The sequence below is a fragment of the Homo sapiens genome, chromosome 6 (genome assembly GCF_000001405.40).
Source record: "Homo sapiens chromosome 6, GRCh38.p14 Primary Assembly".
NCBI lineage: Eukaryota > Metazoa > Chordata > Mammalia > Primates > Hominidae > Homo > Homo sapiens.
The window spans coordinates 50,830,422-50,850,576 of record NC_000006.12 but is presented as its reverse complement, the minus strand read 5'-3'; the positions used below and the strand labels follow the sequence as shown (position 1 = coordinate 50,850,576).

The following is a 20,155-nucleotide window of genomic DNA, read 5'->3' as shown; positions in this document are numbered from 1 at the left end:
CTGGAGAGCGTGCCTAGACGCGGGCTCCCGGAGCCGTGTGCGACGGCTCGACGCAGGCTGGCGCGGCGCACGCGCGGTTCGTTGGCCCGCGGTCCCTGTGCCCGGAGCGTGTGTTATTACCCAGTCTCCCAACTGGTGTCGGTGATTGAGCTCTGGAAACCTGAAGGAAAGACAGTGGGAGTGCGCCGGCATGTGACCCAGGGGAGGGGCATGGCGGGACCCAAGCCGGGAAAGTAGACCCGGGGAGATGTTTGACTGACCTCATCCTGAGTAAGCCCATGGGGTTATTTATGAGGCCTGATTTAAAGTAGTGGCTGCCAGGAAAGTGAAAAAGGAGCTCACCTCAAGCTATGAGAGGAGCTACAGTCGCAAGAATGCTGTTTATGACTATATAAATCACCGTGGAGCGTGTGATGGGAAATATGGAGACTGCGAGTTTAGGATAGAAACAAGGAAACAAAGTCAAGAAGGAAAAATGAGTTTTCGCCCTGTCTTTTTTATCCACTCCCTCCGACCGCGCGCAGTTCCTCCCTCCCCTAGGATACCGCGATCCCGGCGGAGAGGAACGGGAGGAGAGCGCGCCCCCCCGCCCCACACCCCACCCCGTCGTGGGTCGGGTCTGCCCGAGTCTTCCCCAAGTTTACACCAGGATCGTTAGAGAGCCAGGGAATACATGTAAATAAACAGCTTGGAAGATTTATGGGAAGGAGTTCAATTTTATAGGACTGTATTTATAGAGCAAGCGCTGGCTCACTTATAAATAGATTAATGGGAAGCTCAAATTAATGGACTTGTGAGCTGCACGTTTAATTTCTGAGGCTTCAACATGACAGACAACCGCCCTCAAAGTCCAAGCGTGGAAGGCAGCTTGCCCTGAGAAGCCGAGAGCGCCCTCAGGAAGGGACACTTCCCACCGGGCCAACAACTCTCAGGTGGCCCCTAACTTCGGCGCCCAGGGTCCCTGGGAAGGGACCCTACGGAACTGTTATTTGCAAATGAAGAAAAGGAATGTGGCTTCATAAAAAAATAATCGGGTCTTCCTTCCAGCACTATTTTTAATCAAGCCCTTAACCCGCTAACACGAGCCGGCGGGTGCGTTCTGGGCCACTGTAAGCCGCCCACCGGATCTGGCGGTCTCAGGGTCCCTGCGCTGGGCCGGTCAACGACCTAGAGGTTCTAGCTACTGCTCTTTCCTTACTCCCTCTACAGCCTGCTAACACTGTAACAAAGGGGCCGGGGAGCTGTGACACGCAGCCCAGGGCTGTCTTAGTCAAGGCTGTCTCCAGCTTCCAACCCCTTTTCTTTCCCTTTTTGGTTATTCTTGCCAGGTCTTTCCTTCAGTTATTTTCAGGCTCCTCAAAATCTTGGGTTTTACTTACTAAAGGTGATTGTTTCAGACCCTCTTTTTGCCAAGTGGCGGTGGTGGGTAGGAGTAGCCTGGAGCTTACCTGTGGGATAATAGATTGCAGGTCGGTTTATCAAGGGCTCGTGCTAACCTTGAGCAGGAAAAATTGCCATACGATATGGAAATTACCCACCACCTGCTTTGTATAATCCCAGTGGTAACCAACTCCCATCCTCTGTAAAGCAAATGAAAGGAACACTCAGTGTAACAATTGAACCAGAGAATAAGACATATCTATTTTTTTCTAGATAAATGTATGTCCTCATAAGCACACATCCCTTGGTTTTCTCTGCTTCCTTGTTTCCTTTTATTCCCCCCCCCATTTTTTGTTTTTTGTTTTTTTTTGTTTGTTTGTTTGTTTTGCTTTTCTTTGATTCCACTATTTATAGTTCTAGCCATGATCTTCCCGCTTTTAATTAATAGGACAGGAAGGGGGAAATCTCACATAAAGCAGATTCCATTGTTCCTTCTGCCTTTCCCTATAAGGAAGTCCAATTGAAAAAGATTCACGTTTAAAAACAGAAAATTGGTATGGGAGGCATATTATTAACTGAAAACAAACTATATGCTAAGCACTGATATATAAATCTGGGATCATCATGATTTAAAGTTTCCAATTCTCCTTAAACTCATATACAGGTTGCTGTTTCTGCTTTTTATAATTAAACTATAGGCAATATTGATGAAGTAAAGGACCTTAGGAGGTCCATATTTATTTTTACAGATAAAGACCTTGAGGCGCAAAAAGGAGCAGTGACTCATCCAAACTGTTTAACATCGTGGGTGATTTTGCTTTCCTGGCCTCAAGGAAGACACCTAAGCCTTGGAATAAAATACAGATTGAGACGATGTTTGATCACTGCAGCCCATTAGGGCCCAGCTGAAGCCTATTAACCCAGGTGTGAAAAGCTCTGGCTTCTCTAGGCAGCCTCTGAGCCTAGGGTAGGAGCCCCCCAACTTCCTAAGACATGTACACTTTTTTCCTCTTCTCAGTTGAGGGAGCTTTTTCCTCCATTGTTTATGGAGGGCCTTGCACTGCTAATGAGGTCAGGGTCGGGTTCAATTCTGAAATGGGGGTTAACTCCTTCATATCCCAAGTTGAGGGGTGCAGGAGCCCACACCCAGCCCTGAAGACTTCTCCTGCACCGTGCACCATCTCCTTCTTAGAACACTATGCCAGAATGCCAACCCACGAGCAGTGGGAAGGGAGCATCATCTCTGACAGCAACCCAGAGTCCTCTAGTTACCTGGGAAGTAAATTTGACTCCTCGATTTGTAAAGGGCAGAAGAAACCAAAAGATTCAGTTAACATTAGCTTTTATTGCAAATCTGGTTAGAAATAGGAGAGAAGAATGTAAATTTGGAATTTAAAAAAATCAAAAACACTTCTCCTAGTGAAAAAAAGTTCATTTTTCTGAGAAGCAAAATTTATTATATTTCTGTTGTAATGAAAACGCTGTGGGTGCTTCGATGGGGGAGGACAAAAAGTAAAAAGCTTCTTACACTTTTCCTCTGTCGGTAGAATTAAAAACATTGTCCACATTTAAGAAACTGAAGATGAAAACACAACAATCTTTTTATTTATGTAAATCAGATTAACACTGGACAATAAACCAATTTCTACCCATTACCATAACAGCTTGTTTATAAAGAACAGAAAAATTCAGATAGGATTCTATCTAGGGTCAAGAGGTTTTTTAACCACCCATTCACAGAGGTATAGATTCACAGATAAATAATCCCAAACTACTTGCTCGCCATATTTACACATTCCCATTAAATTAAGCATAAATAAATATATACAAACTTAACATGAATACCCTCCAGAGCTCTTCTCGTGAAGAGTCAATAGATTGATATTTCTTGATTGTGTGGCAAAAACAATGTTAGAGAATTAGAGACCAACTCAAAGGTGGAGTCGATTTTGGCATTTAAAGAAGGATAGTGTTCATTCCGTTAAAAAAAAATTGATACTTTTTTTTTTAAGCCAGTAATTTCACATACATCGTCAAAGGTGGGGAAACGCCGTTTGGGCTCTTGAGGCAACATCAGACGGTTTAAGGTTATTTCCTTTCCACATAATGTATTACAAGTACAGGATATCAGATGTGATGACAAATTCTCTATAAACACTCTTAACTAGGAAAGCATTGTAGCAGAGGAACAGTGTGTAGATAAGCTCGAGGTTTCGAGTTTTCCATTCGACCAAAGTTTTCGTAGGATATGAAATAATTGCTTGAGAGAAAGTGGCTTCCTTGGCCAAGGAAAACAAAGCAGCCAGGTCTTTAAAAGCCTCTTCGGTTCTTTAAGTGGGGATGGAGGAAAGCTATGGGTGTGGAGGCCAGAAGGAAGGAAAGAAAATGCAAGGTAATTGGGGGTGTAGGAGTGAAGGTGGTGGGGAAAAGGGGGAGAAAGTTACCTTCCCACTTTGGGGGAGAAGTTAAAGATCTTTTTAGGTGACGGAATCCTCACCCAAACAGGACATTTCTTGCTCCCCAGAGACCTGCAATACGTGCAGGAGGCGGCAGGGTTTGGCAGAGAATGGTCTGGAGATCTTTGGAACCTTTAAAAGAACTTGCGAAGTGGAAAGTGTGAAGGCAGCACTGCCACATCCTGACTCCTCCTGTCTTTCGCTATTTTGTTTTGGGACTGAGCGTTTAGGAGTGGGCAGGGACCAAATGTCTGAAGAGTGCAGGGGCCGGGGGGAGAGCTGCAACTCACCTGTTTGGTTTGAAAACAAAGCTCAAAGGGGCTTGCCTTAAACGTCTCCCTTGACTTAAAAGGCAAACTATTGCGTTAATCCTACTGTTTATTGATTTATAGGCCCAAGGAAACCAAATCTTTTAATAACTCAATTATCAGATAAATGTAGCGGGCCTGGCTAAGGAAAGCAAGGGGGCGGGGGTCCTACATGAAAGGAGAAGTGAGGGAGGGAGAAGGGGTAGTGGGCTCACTCCACGAAACGGGGTTGGGGGCGCAAAAGGTTCTATCTCGCTGGAGCAAGGAGGAACACACAAATGAGGGCGTCTGGCAATGAAGGTACCCTGCCTTGCCAAGTAAGACAATTCCCATCCCATCTCCCCGCTTTAGGATTGTGACGGTGGGGTGTTTCCGTACTGGCAGAGGTGGAGGAGGGGAAGCTTCGGATTCCTTGGATATTTCTAGGCCACTCTCCCTCCAGGAGCCGGCGCCCCGGGTGGCCGCTGGCGGCGCTGGGAGCCCTCCCCACCTGCAGCCCACCGGGCGCCGCCCCATTACCTACTGGAGAATGGGGCTTTCTCGGTCGCCTTAGCCCTTAGGGTGAGACCGAGAGCGGGAAGGGCCCGCGCAGTCGGCAGCCCCTCCAGCGGCTGATTCTATGTCCTCAACACGACTGGGCGCCTGTGGCCCACACGCTCTCAGGACCTGCACAGTAAGAGCAAGGCGCGTCCATCGCGTCTCTCGCACGTCACACGCGTGGGGCGCGTTGCCCTGCAAGGAAAGGAGACGATCGTTTTCAGTGTGGTCTCTCCTGGCCTTGTGCAATCAGAACACATCTAATGCGATCGGCCGAGCTCTCGGACGAAGGCGCAGGCCTCTGAGCTGGGAAAAGAGAGTGACTACACTCTCCGTAACGTCTAGCTCTTGGCCATTGCATTCCTCTCAACAGTTCTAGGGCTGGGCCATGAAGATCAGAAGTGCTAAACGAAGCTAGGGGTTGGAGATGGGCTGCAGTGTGGCCCTAACAGTTGCTTGGGCCCTTTTGGTGACCTGAGACGAGCTTCCTAACTTCCCTTTCCTCTTTTAATAAAAATGGGCAAAGCTCTCAGCAGATTCCTAAAACCCCAACGCAATCCCCACTCCCCCAATCCCCACCCCCACCAAGGCAAAGCGGGAGGGGGGCAAAACCGGGAGTCCTGGAGAATTGAGTGGGTCCTAACTATAAATCCTGCAGAACAACATCTATGTCGTTATCTTTAAGGGGTATTGCAAAGATCTCGTCTACTTTGTTAAATAGGTGAGTGTATCAACACTATATTTAGAGACCTCTCTCATTCACCCTTATCCCGGGATAATTTCTCACTGCTTTTGCGGAGGTGCAGACAATGGATTCCAGATCTTATTTCATGATAATGCTAAGATGGAGCCCAAGAAAGGAGCTGGGCTGCCAGAAGTGAGAAATATTAAATGCATGAAACTTTATCCACTGGGAATAGTCCCGATGTATCCAGACGGTAAAAATCAAAGCTGAAATACATCTCCCTTCACTTTGCATTATTTTGCCATTATATGCCAAAACAAGTGCACGTCTGGGAGGGAAAAATGCCTCATTCATAAAGCATCTTGTAAGAAAGCAATTGTTACAGAAATGTGGGTGCTTGTGCCGCCCTCCTCCCCACGTCCACTCGTAAAGCTGCTTCTTTCCTTGCTTAAACAGCAATCACCAAAGAACCCAGGGAAATCAAATCAATTTTAAATGCAGGGCAATACTATTAGAATATAGGGCTCTAAGAATCCTTACTCTTTTCCCTTAAAATTCATTTTGCAGACCCCCTCCCCTGCCACCTCCACCGGAATTGGAGTGTTGAGGAATGTTAGCATGTAGATTCAAAGCTGCTTCCATCATATTGGCCACTTTCTAAATTATTCCCTTTGAGCTTCTTTAAAGAAGTGCACCTGCAGAATTCTGACACACAGGCTTTGATTAAAAAGGGATCGGATTTTTTTTTCTCTGTACCTTATAGATTGTGTAGGAAGCCCAAGTCCTCTTTGAAGAAGCTCATAAACCATGCGGGCAAAGCTTTGGAAAACAGAAGAGAATGAAATGGTACATACCCCTCCGAAGGAATTACATACTAATCAACGTATTCATATTGTGTGTGTGTGTGTTTTTTTTTTTTTACTATAGTTCATAAAATTAGTAGATGACACAAATATAATAAATGTGAGATTCTCTCTATGCAGATGCTGGCAAGGCTGGGAGCTAGTAACATTTCTGAAAGGAACTGATGATGTTTGAATCAACTTATTGGTCCGGATTTTCCTCAGCCGCCAGAACCTGCTCTGCCGGCCGGCACCAAAAATTGCAGCCTCCGCCTGGTCTCCACAGGCCTCCCGCCCCGCCCTCGCCCTCCCTAATTATGCAAGCGGCCGGGGAGCCGGGCCCGGTGAGTTAAGATCGCAGGGCTGGGCGGGGAGGTACCGAGAGGACTGAAACAACGCAAAAGGGCCAACCACACTCATTTTCATCCCAGAAGATTCCCGTAACAATGTGAGGAAGGGAGGGTAACATGGAAAAGGGTGGTTGGGAGACGGGTGAGGTGAGATGGAGGGCGGGGACTGCGAGAGTTTCCTAAAAATATATTTAAAATTAAAAAGTTCGTGCGTCTCAGTCAACCAGCTCTCAAAGCATTGACACCAACGTTTCTCCGATTTTCTTCCAATAAGTTAGCGTTTTTCTCATGTTTAGTCTTATGTTTATTTTCCAAAGGGAAGGGGAAATCATGGTTTTCTTTTATTATCAGTATTACTAAACTCGAAAGAACCGAAGTGGAAAATCCGGACGGTTGTCTCCAAATGTATCTTGAAATAGACACTGAGAACCGATATTGTTGCTCCGTTGTACGCCTCAGTTTTTTTTTAAGTTATTTAGCTTTTTTTTTTAAAATTTTGATTGTATGTGTATTCTACCTAATATAATTCTTCCAAAGCCAATCCAATATTTTAAAGCTAAAATTAAATTTTTGTCTGTTTTTCCTTTTGTATTTAAAACATTTTTCCTTCTTTTTTTAAAAATTTTTCATTTCCTGTGTTTCTCCTCCTTGTCGCCAGTTTTACTACCTGGGCCTTCCCCAGACGTGTGCCTGTTAGTGGTGGTGTTGTTCAAGAACATCTTGTCCATGCCTTTGAGCGCCTCGGTGAGATAGTTCTGCAGGGCCGTGAGCGCGGCGCAAATGGCCGGGGCGCCGAAGCCGTGCGTGATGAGGCTGAAGTGCGTGAGGCAGCTCTGGATCCCCGGCTCCAGGATGGGGCTGGGTCGGCTGTTCCCTATCGGTGTCCGGTCCTGCGCCAGTAGATCCGTAAATTCTTTACAAAGTTGCCTGCAAAGGGGTGGGCGAGGCACAGAAAATCACCCTCAGTGTCGTTGTCATTGGCATTAGAAAGGAGACGCTCACACAAGCCCAGAGGCGCCGGGTCACCGAAGAGCGAGGCTAATGTGGGCGATTCCGCTCTGTTTCCTTTCCCAGCGCCCTCCCTTCTCGAGCAGCTGGGACTGAAAGGAAAGCGGGGGTGGGGAGGTAATGCACCCCTTCCACCCCAAAGCCTTGCCTTCCCCCGACTTCAGCCTTTCTCCCCTCCATTCCAGGACCGCCTGGACTCGCTTTGGGACATTCGCTAGGCTTTAGCAGTTGATTTTTAATACTTCATAATATTGAGCTCTTACCTGGCATTTCTTTTGAGCTGTTTCCCCCGCGCCCCTCCCACCTCTCCAACCTCTTGGTGATCAGGCGCAAAAAGCCCTGAAAGATTTAGGCCCCTCGGCCACAAGCCTGTCCCTGGCACTGAAGCAGATTGCTGGAGCCTTCCATGGCCCAGGGCAAGAAACTGTTTATTCTAGAGAATGCTGATTCCATTCAAAGCAAAAACCTGTTTACCTGCAGTATTGGGGGAGGGAGCTAGTTTCTGCCTTTCCCTCCTTTCTTTCTTCCAAGTGTAGGGCACTGAAAATCTTTGTATAACCAGACTGTTGTCAATATAAAAGGATTCCCATATAGTTTAAATAAAACCTAAAGGTAGGCTGTTAAGACACTAGGGAGGATAGATTTTTATTTGTTGAAGGTTTTTATTTCCTCAAGCCACCTACAATTTAGAGGAATCTCCCAGCCTTAGAAATCCTGCGTGCCTACCTATGGATTGAGCTTATTTGAGAAATTTTAATATAGGAGCTGGATGGGATGGTTCTAGCCCTGAAGGTCAAATGGCTGGCAGGCAGACACACAGCATCCCAAAGGCCACAGCTTTTCACAGATGGGCAGATTTCTCATGTCCACCTGCCTGTACCCAGCCTATGGGTCTGTGGGGTTTAGGAAAAAAATAAACCTACAGCACTCCAGTCCTAGACCCACAATGGGTTGGCCCGACTCACAGATACCTGGCCACACCTGGCCTAGCCAACAGGTAAACAGGGCAGGTGATTGGACTCAAAGAATCCTGGGGCATCCTTTCCTAGGGTGCTGCCACTTTGGGATAGTGGCTAAATCTGATGAGGAATACCACCCAGTCACAGAAGCTAAACTGTTGCTGGTTTTAAGATGGGTGGATAGAGAACACTAACAGGCACCCTCGATTCTCCCTTTGAAGTACACACATACATCCTCACAACCAGGAAGAAATAGATAAGGGTTCTGACCAAAGTGGGGCAGTTTTTAAGCTCTTAAGAGGTACACCTTAGAAACACCTGTGGGGTTCAAACACACACTCCCAGGCCCCCACCTCCAGTAATTCCAATTTAGAAGATTTGAGGATAGCCCCATACAGAAATATCTTGAAAAAGCTCACCAGCTGATTCTGATACCCTAGGTTCAGAAGTGCTGGCCTAAGAGAAGCCACAGTGCTTGGACAGTGGGTAGTTAGATGCATACCTTAGAGAAATGAGAGTCATTTGTGGGTCCTATCTGATTTATACAGTTTGGTTTTATTTTTTTCCCTAAAGTACCCTTCCTCTTTTATAAAGCACAACTGATCCCCCCCACACACACACCCCGTGCCTCACCAGACACCAGCGCAAGGGGCAGGAGGGCAATCTACTGACAAATACCTATTTTACTGCTGGTTGATACAGCAGATGAAAACCTTCAAGAAAGAGGGTGGATGCCAGGTTTTGATCATTGGGAGAGATGGGTAAAGTCTTTCCTTAAGTTTGTACTCATTACCAAAGTGCCAAAAAAGACATTCTGAACTGGGGAGAACAAATGCTTAGAGTCAAACATTTTAAATCTTCAAAGCCCAAACCAGGGTCTGTAAGCAATTAAAGTTCTGGGACATTAATATTTTTTGACCCTGCGGAAAGGGGCAATCAAATTCCAATCACGTCTCAAAAACATCTGGACAAATTTGAGCAAATGATTTTTCAGCCTTCCATATATTTCTTTAAATTACGCTGTCAACGGGACAAACCGCGTCCTCCAACACTAAATAAATGAGCGCGGCTGTTTGGGCCGCGCCTGCAAGAGAAACGTGCGGGCGCACGCAGCGCCGCCCACTGCAGGCCTGAGCCGGCCATAAAACACCAACAATATGACACCGAAGCCAAAGACAGGAGTAAATCAAATAAATAGAAAACCCACTGTAAAAGTTCAAATGAGCTCTAGACCTAAATTTAGCCAGAGATTTACTATTTTCCCCTCTGGAGTTGTAGTAAATTTTACAAGTCTGTGGAAGATGACAAACAGCAACGTTGGAAACGGAGTAATTAGAGCTGTGGGTAGAGATGGGTACACGTGGGTTTTATAGACTCCCTGAGCGAGCACACATGGCTATGTGGCTACGACAGAGAGATAGATGTGAAACCCAAGCAGAAATATGCACCTTCGGATCCAGGGAAGAGCTGGAACAAGAACTCCCTCAGAAAAGATCTGCCTGACATCCCCAGAGTGATAGAAGAGAATTGTAAGAAGGCTGGATTCGGATTAACAAAGCCATTTTCCCCAGAGAGGACACCTGAGACAAACCTGTAGCCCATCAACTCTGCCTACCTTGCTTGCCAGAGGCTGCAAATGCTACTTCTAGACAACCCTCTGGCTTCTTTCTCTGCCCCTCCCCACCACCTACTCCAAAGTCGGGTGGCCTAGCCAGCTGGGAGTGAGATGAGGGCCCAGAGTCTAATAAACTCACTTGGTGGCCAACAGCATATTCTTTCGGGAGTGCAGGTCACTCGGGTCTGTGTGCTGCCGGTTCAAATACTCAGAGACGGCTTTGGCGGGAAACTCCGTTTCGCAAATGTACCCAAAATCCCTAGCTAAGTGAACAGCTTCTCCTGAAAAAGACAGCAGTAAAGGTAATAATCAGCACCCAGGCCCTAAATATCCCAGGGCGGAGACATTCCCTTGTCAGCTTTGTTAGTATTTCCAGAGAAGGCCAGCTGTTGGAGCCAAAAGCAAAGGTGAGAGATGCCTAAAGGAAAAATGATTCTCAAGCTATAATTAAAATTGGTGGGACCAACTTTGCTCCTGTCTCTTTTTCCTGCCTCTCCCTGAGCCAACTCCTAGCTAGACATCCCCTGAATAGCTACGGGGTCTCCTACACCCTAATCTTTTTGTCAAGAGCCACCTTATAATTGAATTTGGACATTTGGCTGGACATTTAAGCCAGATTCCTCTTTCTTTTTAAAGCATCTGTCACACTTGCTTTAAATAAAATTTAAAAGTGACCATCATCTTGCTACAACTGTATTCCAACAAATATATAAAAACAAGCCCATGTGTATATATGTCCACATATATTAAACACTATATGTAAAATGTATATGGAAAGAGTATTTCTATCTGCAATGAAATAATAATTCTCCTTGTCACTTTTCCTGCTAGTCAAGTTTCAGGTTTCTCCCCTTCAGAGGTTCCTGTCATCATCCTCCTACTTCAGGACTTTTCACTGCACAAAGATGACACAGCAGCTACAGAAAACTGGAGTATCTAAGGTATTACTCAGCTTATGTGAAAGCCCCTTTCAAGTAAAGCATTATTACCCTTTAAACACAGCCTTTTGGGGTTCAAGGACAGATCCCATACATGAAAAACAGATATGTTGAAATACCCCATAGCTACATTATTTTTAAGGAGGATGACTTACTTTTAATCATTATTATCATAACAACAAAAGACTTCAGGCATGGTGCTTACAAGGAGTCACAAAACCAAAAACTGCCAAACAAATATTGGAATTTTAGTGGGGTTTCCAGTTTCCTCCCTTCTCCCCTGAAATCCCTGTCTTGAGCTAAGGTTACCTTGATTGCTTTCCAAAATGAGGACTATGATATTAGCAATTCCCTGAAGGGTAAAATGTGAAACTTCCAGGCTAAGAGTCAACCACTAGTAAGTGTGGTCTGGAAATTTCAGTGATTCCTGCCTCTGGAGGGTGTTCAGGCCAAGCAACTTTGCCTTAAAAATGGCCAAGTATAAGGCCTGTAACTGTGATGATTAATGGTTGCTGCCTAAATATTTTAATATTCCATCTTCTAAAACCAACTCTCTACAGGAGCATCATAATATTACACCCATACAAATGGAATTAAAACACAAGACCTACAAGCTAGATGCTAGAGAAAATTCTGCATCTTCCTCCATTAGGACCATCTGACTGTATTTCATATTATTTCCCACAAATTCAACTGCAGATCCTCTTGTTCTGGACTGTGTAGATGATTTTGTTTATTACATACCATAAATATCATCCCCAAACCCAAACTGATGAGCAAATTATAAGGTGCTTATTGCAATTATCACCCTATAATTCACAATTGATGAATCTACATTGAAGATAATACCTGACTCCCCTACATATTTCTTCACCCCTCCTCCCCAATCTTCCCCTAGCTATCATTGGCCTTACTAAGCTATCAATATTTCAATAACAACATGTCCCAGGTAATCTGCAGATTTGGCCCTAGGAGTGACAAAAGTTTTAAAATAACCATTAGGGGTCATGAATGCAATGTGTTTTCTACTACTGACAATTCAAATCTGGCAAGGTGAAGGGGTATAGAATGAATTATTGCTTAAAGAGTTACTCTTGCAAGAGTTCACATAGAGGATGTCCTGCACGTGACAGCAGGAGTGACCCCTGCTTTGTCTTGGAGGCTGGACCTGAGCACTTTTCAGAGCACAGGAACTCTCAAATACTTCCCTTGCCCTGTCTACAACTGCTGGCTTCCTCTAAGTAAAAGGACCTTTGAACCTCTCTCAAGAAGCCGCTTGACATCCAGCTCATAAGAGCACAACAATCACAACGATTTCCAGTTAATCATGAAATGTGTAAAATGTCAGCCTCCAGCCGACAGTTAAGCTCAGCCACTTCGTGAAATGGCCACACGTCTTGCTTACCTTCCACCAGGGAGGTGAGTAACGTGACATTTGCTGCTTTGCGCCTGCCCGCGGGTAAATTCAAACCGATTTTTTCTAGCCTTTCTCGCAAAGATCTCCCCCCATTTTTCGATTTGGCTCTGAAATTGCAAGAATTAACATTCTGATTAACCTTAGAGTGTTCCTGAAACAAAGTTTAGACTTAGCAATCTAAAGCCCAGTGGAGCTTGAAGAGGTTTTAACTTGAGGTTAGCACATTTTTCCCCCTTCCTTTTGGTTATTTGCTGATAGTTTGCTGAGGTTTGCTTAATTTCTGCAATACAGAGAATTTTTTTTAACTGAGTGTTCTTTTTTTATCTTGTGAGAAAAGAAAAAAAAAGGATACCAGATGGGAATAATTAGGTGTAGGTTATGGGTCTAGAGAAGGTAGAAGCTGCACATGCACGTGCATGTTCCTTCCTTGTCATGGAGTTAGTGAGGTGAGCAGAAACTGGGCAAGCACAACCTTGCTGAAAAGAGGATAAGAGCCAGGTGGCTTAGAGAGGAGAGCGCACTTGCTGCAACAGGTGGGCTTTGTGAGGAAGGGGTCAAGAGTTGCTGTATATGGTGTTATGTTAAAAGGAGAGGGCAGACTGAAATCGAAATGGTGATGATCATAATAACAGTAAAACTAACACTTTTGGAAGTGTAGTTATGTGATAAGCACTTTATATTGATTATTTTACTTCATCTCTGCAAATTTATATATACAGGCTTAATGTTCAGGGGGTGATTGAAAACTTCCACACTCTGAGGCTCAAAGCACTCACTTGAAAACTGAATCAAAGGAGGGCAGAGGAAGAGGATTCAAAATGAGAAAGTTCCTGGGTCACACCCTTAATTTCTCCCAAGATTCTCCTTGTATGTGCTAAAGTATGGACAAAAGTACAAGTAAAAATCCTCAGTTACTGTAATCTCTTTTGCTGTACTATTCATACAGTCACTTTTAGGAAAGAAAAGGACTGTCAACCCCCAGAAGGGGTCATCTTGGAAAGTTTTGTCTCAGACAAAGTCACTTTCATATCAGGGACACTGCCAAAGTGTTCAGGCATTGGCAGGGACTTCAAGGGAGGCATTACATCTTAAGATAAAATCCACATTCTCTCACATTTCCACGAGGAGGAGTCAGTCTCTGGGCTGTGGAATACTGTGAAGCACCTGAATGGCTCCCAGGAATACCTATAAATACTTCTAAAGTGATATTATTGCTATTATTGGTGGTGGTGTTATTGAAAGAGGGATGTCACAAATTTAGAAAAAGAGTTTATCAAACTGGGTTACAGTGCATCAGCAGGTTGAAAGACCAATTTCACTGGGTGCCAACTGCATTTAAAACATGCAATAAAAGAGAAAGAGTACACTGAAGGTATGAAGAGAGTTGCTTCATGAAACTTATGGGGTTTTTTGTGGGGGGGCTGGGGGGCTGTTAGTTCCGCGTTGTACTCAGGCTGGAGAATGCCCCCTGAGATGTCCTAGGGGTGACAGGAAGAGAGGCGCCAGGCGCAGGGCCAGGAAAGTGAAAGGTTCCCAGGGCGGCAAAATCTGCGGTAGGACTTGCGCGGCGCGGGCAGGCCTGGATGCAAGGACACTAGAGTTTGTGGGCGAGCAGGTGGCGGCCGCGGATCCTCCCAAGCGCTGCGCGAAAGCAATGCTCCGGCCACCCGGTTGCTAGGCAACTGCGTCAGACTGCAGATTGGGTTTTGCTGGAACCTTCTCCTCACTGTCCAATAAATAAAAACTGGTGGGTTTTTGTTTGTTTTTTTGTTTTTGTTTTTGTTTTTCGTGGTGGGGTTACCTTCTGAGGACTCCGCCGAGGAGAGATGCATTGAGGCATTCAGGGGGCGACAGCCGTCTCTGAACTTCTCCCACAGTTACTTTGTACTTCGAAGTTGAACTGAGCAGAGACAAACGGCCTGGGACGGAGCAAAACACCTCGCCGGTGTTGACAGACATGCCTCCCAGGAAGCCGTCTTTATTCATCATTAGAGAAGTCACCGATTTGGGAGGAACTGGAACTAGAAAGAGAGAAAAAATTGCCATAAAGGTGACCAAGTTTCGATCCTGATGACCGGCTGATAGAATGTGTCTCTGTGTGAGGCCACAGGACAGACACCAAGTGGAAAGCTGAGGGAGGAAGTGTTTATTCCAGTGGGGCTGCAGTGCGTTCAGAGAGCTGTAAACAAACAGATGGCAAAGCCATACCTCCTCTGGAAACTTACTTCGTGTGTAGACATATGAGTGTCATTTGCTACAGTCCTGCTCACTACCCAAATCAAGAAATCAAACAACCCAGAGTTTGGACTGTGCTGGGAACCAGGCAAATCTTATTCCATCGTGTGCTAACTCTGTGACCTTAGACACCTGACTGACTCTGTCTGAACCTCCTCAGTTTCCTTATCTGTCTCCTGAGGATAATAATGCCTATCTCATTTGGTGCTGAAGCCTGACGGTGATTATCACCATGCGGTGATATAAAATGGTAATTCCAATGGAAACCCCTTCCTCCTTTCCTATTGGACCCAGATCTATGGTCATCACTAGAAAGGATAAGGAGGGTGGACCCCATCAGATACTATGCCCAAGAACAGACAAATAATACCATTGAGCTGGGGAGCTGGGCCCAAAACAGCTGCTCATCTCTTTAAAGTGGGCCCCATTCTTCCCTACATAATAACAACAGATTCATTTAGAAAGGAACCCAAATGCTCATCTTCAGTGAAAGCAATTCTGCAGTGACATGAATTTTGTTTACAAATTAAAGCACCGGCTAGTGATTGTTTGGAACAGTTATGATTTACAACAGGTGCCCTGATCAATCAACCAATCACTCTAATTCATATGAGCGGCGGTCTTGCCTTGCCCCAGTTGTTTCTTTTCGGCAAGTAATTGATAACAAACCGCACTCAAGGTATGTTTTATGCAGAAGTTAATAAGAGTTGACAGCTGGTTGCCACTGCTACCCTGGTGCATTCAGCCTCTCCAGCCTGTATTTCTGCTTAATTGTGTTTCAGTGTCATCTGCATGTCAGAAAGAGGCTAGGCTCAGTGGAACCAGAAGGCTGGGAATGAGGAACAGTCCATCTCCCAGTTCCCTGGCAGTATTTTCCCTTGGACTTCACTGCTTAAGCCCATTTTCTTTATGTAGGTTTTACAGGCCCCTAAACAGGTGGCTATACCTCCTGACTTTCCCTGTAACTTTGCTTCTTCCACTGGGATATGAGGCCTCCAAATCTTCATGGTATTTGTCGATCACCAGTCCAAAAAATCTTTGGAAACATGCATCTGGTGTGAAAAAAGAGGTTTCCAACCCTACCTATTTGATAAAGTCTATCTCACTTTGTAATTGTGTGGGGAAAAGATAGGCTGTTTCTGTCGTCTGGAGCCTAGAACCCTATATATCAAACAAGATGCATAACATCCCTTCTATGGAACAGACTAACCAATACTGTGTATTTCTCTAACAGTTTATTCTCTCTACCACAGATTCCAGTATACAAACCTCCATAGTTGTTTAGAGACTCCTAGAAGCCAGGTTGCTCCCAAATCTTTTATTTACTATGAATTTCATTAGATCCTTTACAAACACCTTGTGGAAAAGAGCTTTATTACAAGAGTGGATGAGGAGACTAAAACATTCCCTTCTGCTACTACCCAGTAGGCATTTTAGGATCTATGGATCTGTCCACAGAGCCCAAGACCTTGTCCCAGATGGATGAATTGATGTTGGCAACAGAGTAAATATTCTGCCCTGTCATGGGGCGGGGACAGGGGATATAGAGAGGTGTTCCTTCTTTTTGATTTCCCTCATTTTCTCATCAGTGAATCTGCTTCCCATTTAAGAATGAATCAATGAAAAGTTGAAGTGTGAATGTTAATCAGATTTGAGTGAGATGTGAAGTTAAAGTCACTTAATAGACAGGTGATTGGTGGGGGCATCTATTTCAGTCTATCTTACTCTTCACAACAGTGCTGATTTCCATAATTCAGACTCATAGTGAAGGCATTAAAAACAAATAATTGACAATCATGGGAGTTGGCATTATGAAAACTTGGAAAAACTTATTTTCCAAAATATAGATGGCCCTTTGTAATTTTAACATGATATGAATTATAGAAATAAATTAGATAAAAATCTCACCTCTATACTTAGCAACATATTTATCTCTAAATACTATTTAGAATATTTTTTTAAATAACAACCAACTCCACTAAGCTGAAAGTACTAAATTCACTTCCTGCTTCCCACAGTGGATAACCAAATACCCACTGAGTATTGGAATCTTACCTGCTTCTCCCTGTCCCAGAAGCTAAACCTCTGGAAAAGCCGGGCCTTTAAAGAAATGTTATAAACCACCCTGTAATTTCACTATTGTTAATTGCCTGATTCACCCGACAAGAGCTATTTCCTTTGGGGAATGTATATTGCTCCCTGCCATGGGTTGAGTACCTTTCTGCATATACATTATCACCTGCATACCCCCAATCCAATCAGCTTCTGTCAGTACACTGCCCTCTCTGGGAAGGTTTTTGTTTTTGTTTTTGTTTTTGTTTTTTCCCCTTCCAGTCAAAGCAAGGACAATGTCAGAAGATGTGCTTTGGACTATATTTCCATTTTCTAATTTAAGTATCACAATTGTGTTCCCAGCCTCCTATCCTCATGTTCTAAACCTCTCTCCTTAGTATTGGTCCCCTAGACCAGATCTGACACATTTCTTGTCCCAACTTTCCTTTAGATCCATAACTCCATCATAATCTACTTTCCCTTCCACTTTCACACCTGCTTAGTTCACCTGATTAACCCCATATTTTACTTTCTTTGTCTTTTCCCTTCTGCTTTCTTCCAGTTTATCAATAAACCCAGAGCTCAACAGGGCCTGGTTGATTTGTTAGTAATTATGAGCACACTGTTCCTGCTCATGGAACCCAGAGATGACTGAGATAGGTTTAAAGCGACAGCAGGAAATAGTAAGGAAATGGGGCATGGCAAAACTCAGCATGAAGCTTTCAGTTCTTTACATGTTTACAATTTTCTGTGCATACATTAGAAGTATTTTTTTCCTCTTCAGTTCCCAGTTGGGTGTCAAGGCCAAGTTCTGGATGTAACACCCACAAAACTCATTCCCCTCCCTTTTTTGCTGCATTATGCTGGGGAGAAGTAAAAAAAGGCTAAAAACAGATCAATATTTCATTAACATGGCTGGAGTTTTATTTAAAAGAGAGGAAAGAAAAATGATTAGAGAAAATACTATTCATTAGTTGACTATAGAAGAGCTAAAGTGTTAATAGGCTAGTTTTTAATCTCTACTCTTTAAACTTAAGTGTGAAATTATAGTTTTGAGAACTTTGTATTTGATTCTATCTGCTGGTGAGGAGAAGGGAAGAAATGAACCTATCTTATAGATTCATAAGGTAAGTACCTTCGAAAGGCACTCTTGACCTAAAGATGTAAATGACATTGGGAAACAACCAGGAGGCTTAGCACTGACTCAAAGTGGCCCCTAAAAGTTAGCACTCTTTTTCTCACCAGCAAAGCACCCTTTCCTCAGATCTAAACACTTCCTCATGTACCTGAGTGTAAAATTTTATTCCACAACTATAGTGCATGTATAAGTGTGGGGACTGAAATTGTGGGGAAAAAAATAATTTCCACAAATAAAGCAGGGATATTAAAAAACTCAAACATCCAGTATTGGCATCTTATAGGGACAGAGTCTAGAAGGCTAAAAGGCTGGAAACTGAGTTGAGTCTCATCACTTACATGGTGTATAGGACCTTGAGAAAGTCATTTATTGTCTCTCTCAGTTTCAGCACTTGGAGTGTTGAAGAAGAATGTCTAACCTACCTGACTTTGAAAGAGTGGCTGCAGTGTTTCTCAGGGTCTCTAGTTGATAAATAGCTATTGGGATCCAAGTCCAACCTGGAAATGGGAACTTCTTCCTTTTGAGAGGAAACTCATACCGTTCAGAGACTCTGACAGACTCTCAGAGCATTTTACCTTCTAGGTCAGAAGAATCCCAACAGAATCAATTGTAATAGAAATTTGGCAATTTCTTTATTTCCCATGAAAGAAAATCCACACCAGTCAAAGTGTTTATGTGGGGAAGGGGCCAGAACTAACGGGAAAGAAAGTGGGAGAGAATGGAGGATGAACTGAAACTAACCAAACAGGATATCCCTAAGACCAATGAAAATGCCCCACAGTCACAACATTTGAACCTTGGATTCCAGCCACGCTAGCCTTTCCAAGAAATCCCAGAATATTTTCTGCTGTCTAAGGTGTTAAACAGATTGCATATTGGCTTCTTATTGCACCAAAAACTTTTTCTTAAAGTTTAGGTGAGCCTTTTTTTGAGTTAAGCAACATGATGGTGGCAGTGATCATTTTTATTAGCTGGGTACACCCTCTTCCTCCCCCCAGATTTCTAATCTTAATGGAACTGAGAGTTAAGAATGATTTTTTAATGTCTCGTTGGATTTTTAGACTGTTAATGTACCGAATCCTTCTCATTATTACTTTATTGATTGCTCATTGACCAGCCCCCTTCAAATCGTATTAACCACCCTCTGCCGGTTTAGATTAGGAGAGTTTAAAAAGCACCTTTCATTACTCCCCCCGCCCACTCCCGCCATGGAGTTGAGACTAGGCAGCTTAATGGGAGCTCTAATGGGGCAGCTAAGAGGAGAGGGGCCACGGTCCCTGCAGATTGCATTAATAGCTCAAAGGGGGCCAATACAGAAAATTAGCCGTAAACGAGCTCTGGAGATCTTCAAATGAAAGAGCCATTTATCACGCTGGCTACCTTCACTCCACTCGTTTGCTCTCTCTACTGGGAACAACTCATTTCCTCTTAACTAAATTACTTCAGAAATGTCAGCTAAGCCCAGATAGCAAACATAACAAGAGAGGGAGCCCATAATCTATGGGGTGACATAAACACAGGTGAAAAATTAGATTGGTTAAATTTTAGAAGGGGCCTTACCATAACTGGAGAAAGAGACATAGAGATAGAGACATGCATCATTTATGCCTAAGTCTTCTAGCTTCATAAACACAGACTCAGAGACCCCCAAACCTAGACCACTTGCCAATCTGTTACTAATGAGGTAGAATTTTTTTTTATCTGCCTAAAAGCCCATTAGAAAATATATTAAGAAACTAAGCCTTCTTCTAGGTGTTGAAATTTAGAATATTTAGTTCACAAGACTTTCTCACCTCTTTTACAAAATTCATCTCTTGGAAACATCTCTCATAATTGGGGAGATGGTGAGCAAAGAGACTAGGGTGCAGGGGAAGGGGCTAATGAACTCACCACAACTTTAAGTGGCTTATACTGAGTTAGAAAAGTAAATCAACCTCGTATTCTTATTTTGCCTATGGCTCTCTAAAGAAAAAAGACATAGGATCTTTTCTTCATGTAATAAAGCAAATATGTCAAATATTAAATAATGCAACTGACCTACCATTTCATCATATTCATACCACACCCTCTGAATCAATTAAAGTAACTGGGATGCTACTTAAATATTTTAAGCTGCACATTTTTTAAAAAGCTGTACATTTGGGGGGACATAAAATGTACTCTTCTGTTTCCAAAAACAGAACCATCAACTTTAGTCATTATTCTCTTTTTCTTATTCCTGGAGACAACCTTGCA

General features: G+C 43.9%; 1 protein-coding gene across 6 annotated transcripts in view, besides 3 other annotated features; it reads right to left on the bottom strand.

Moving 5' to 3' along the window:
* Window positions 556-1,055: an enhancer, noted in NCBI's record as "H3K4me1 hESC enhancer chr6:50817235-50817734 (GRCh37/hg19 assembly coordinates)". NCBI's record gives its function as "activates a minimal SCP1, AML or CMV promoter by ChIP-STARR-seq in primed H9 embryonic stem cells {active_cell/tissue: H9 hESC(primed)}" and the evidence as "EXISTENCE:reporter gene assay evidence [ECO:0000049][PMID:30033119]".
* Window positions 1,056-1,557: an enhancer, noted in NCBI's record as "H3K4me1 hESC enhancer chr6:50816733-50817234 (GRCh37/hg19 assembly coordinates)". NCBI's record gives its function as "activates a minimal SCP1, AML or CMV promoter by ChIP-STARR-seq in primed H9 embryonic stem cells {active_cell/tissue: H9 hESC(primed)}" and the evidence as "EXISTENCE:reporter gene assay evidence [ECO:0000049][PMID:30033119]".
* TFAP2B (transcription factor AP-2 beta) overlaps window positions 2,958-20,155 on the bottom strand; it is a 29,265-nt gene continuing 12,067 nt past the window's right edge. For 5 of the 6 annotated variants that reach the window (XM_017011233.2, XM_017011234.2, XM_011514837.3 and 2 more), the window contains 4 exons: window positions 14,297-14,516; window positions 12,484-12,602; window positions 10,280-10,421; window positions 2,958-7,485 (listed from right to left, as the gene is read on the bottom strand). In XM_017011233.2, the coding sequence (XP_016866722.1) occupies window positions 7,185-7,485; window positions 10,280-10,421; window positions 12,484-12,602; window positions 14,297-14,516 (782 nt within the window). In that variant the 3' untranslated portion in view covers window positions 2,958-7,184. The remainder of the gene's footprint in view (window positions 7,486-10,279; window positions 10,422-12,483; window positions 12,603-14,296; window positions 14,517-20,155) is intronic. The other variant, XR_007059334.1, reaches the window with a different exon arrangement.
* Window positions 7,518-8,023: an enhancer, noted in NCBI's record as "NANOG-H3K27ac-H3K4me1 hESC enhancer chr6:50810267-50810772 (GRCh37/hg19 assembly coordinates)". NCBI's record gives its function as "activates a minimal SCP1, AML or CMV promoter by ChIP-STARR-seq in naive H9 embryonic stem cells {active_cell/tissue: H9 hESC(naive)}" and the evidence as "EXISTENCE:reporter gene assay evidence [ECO:0000049][PMID:30033119]".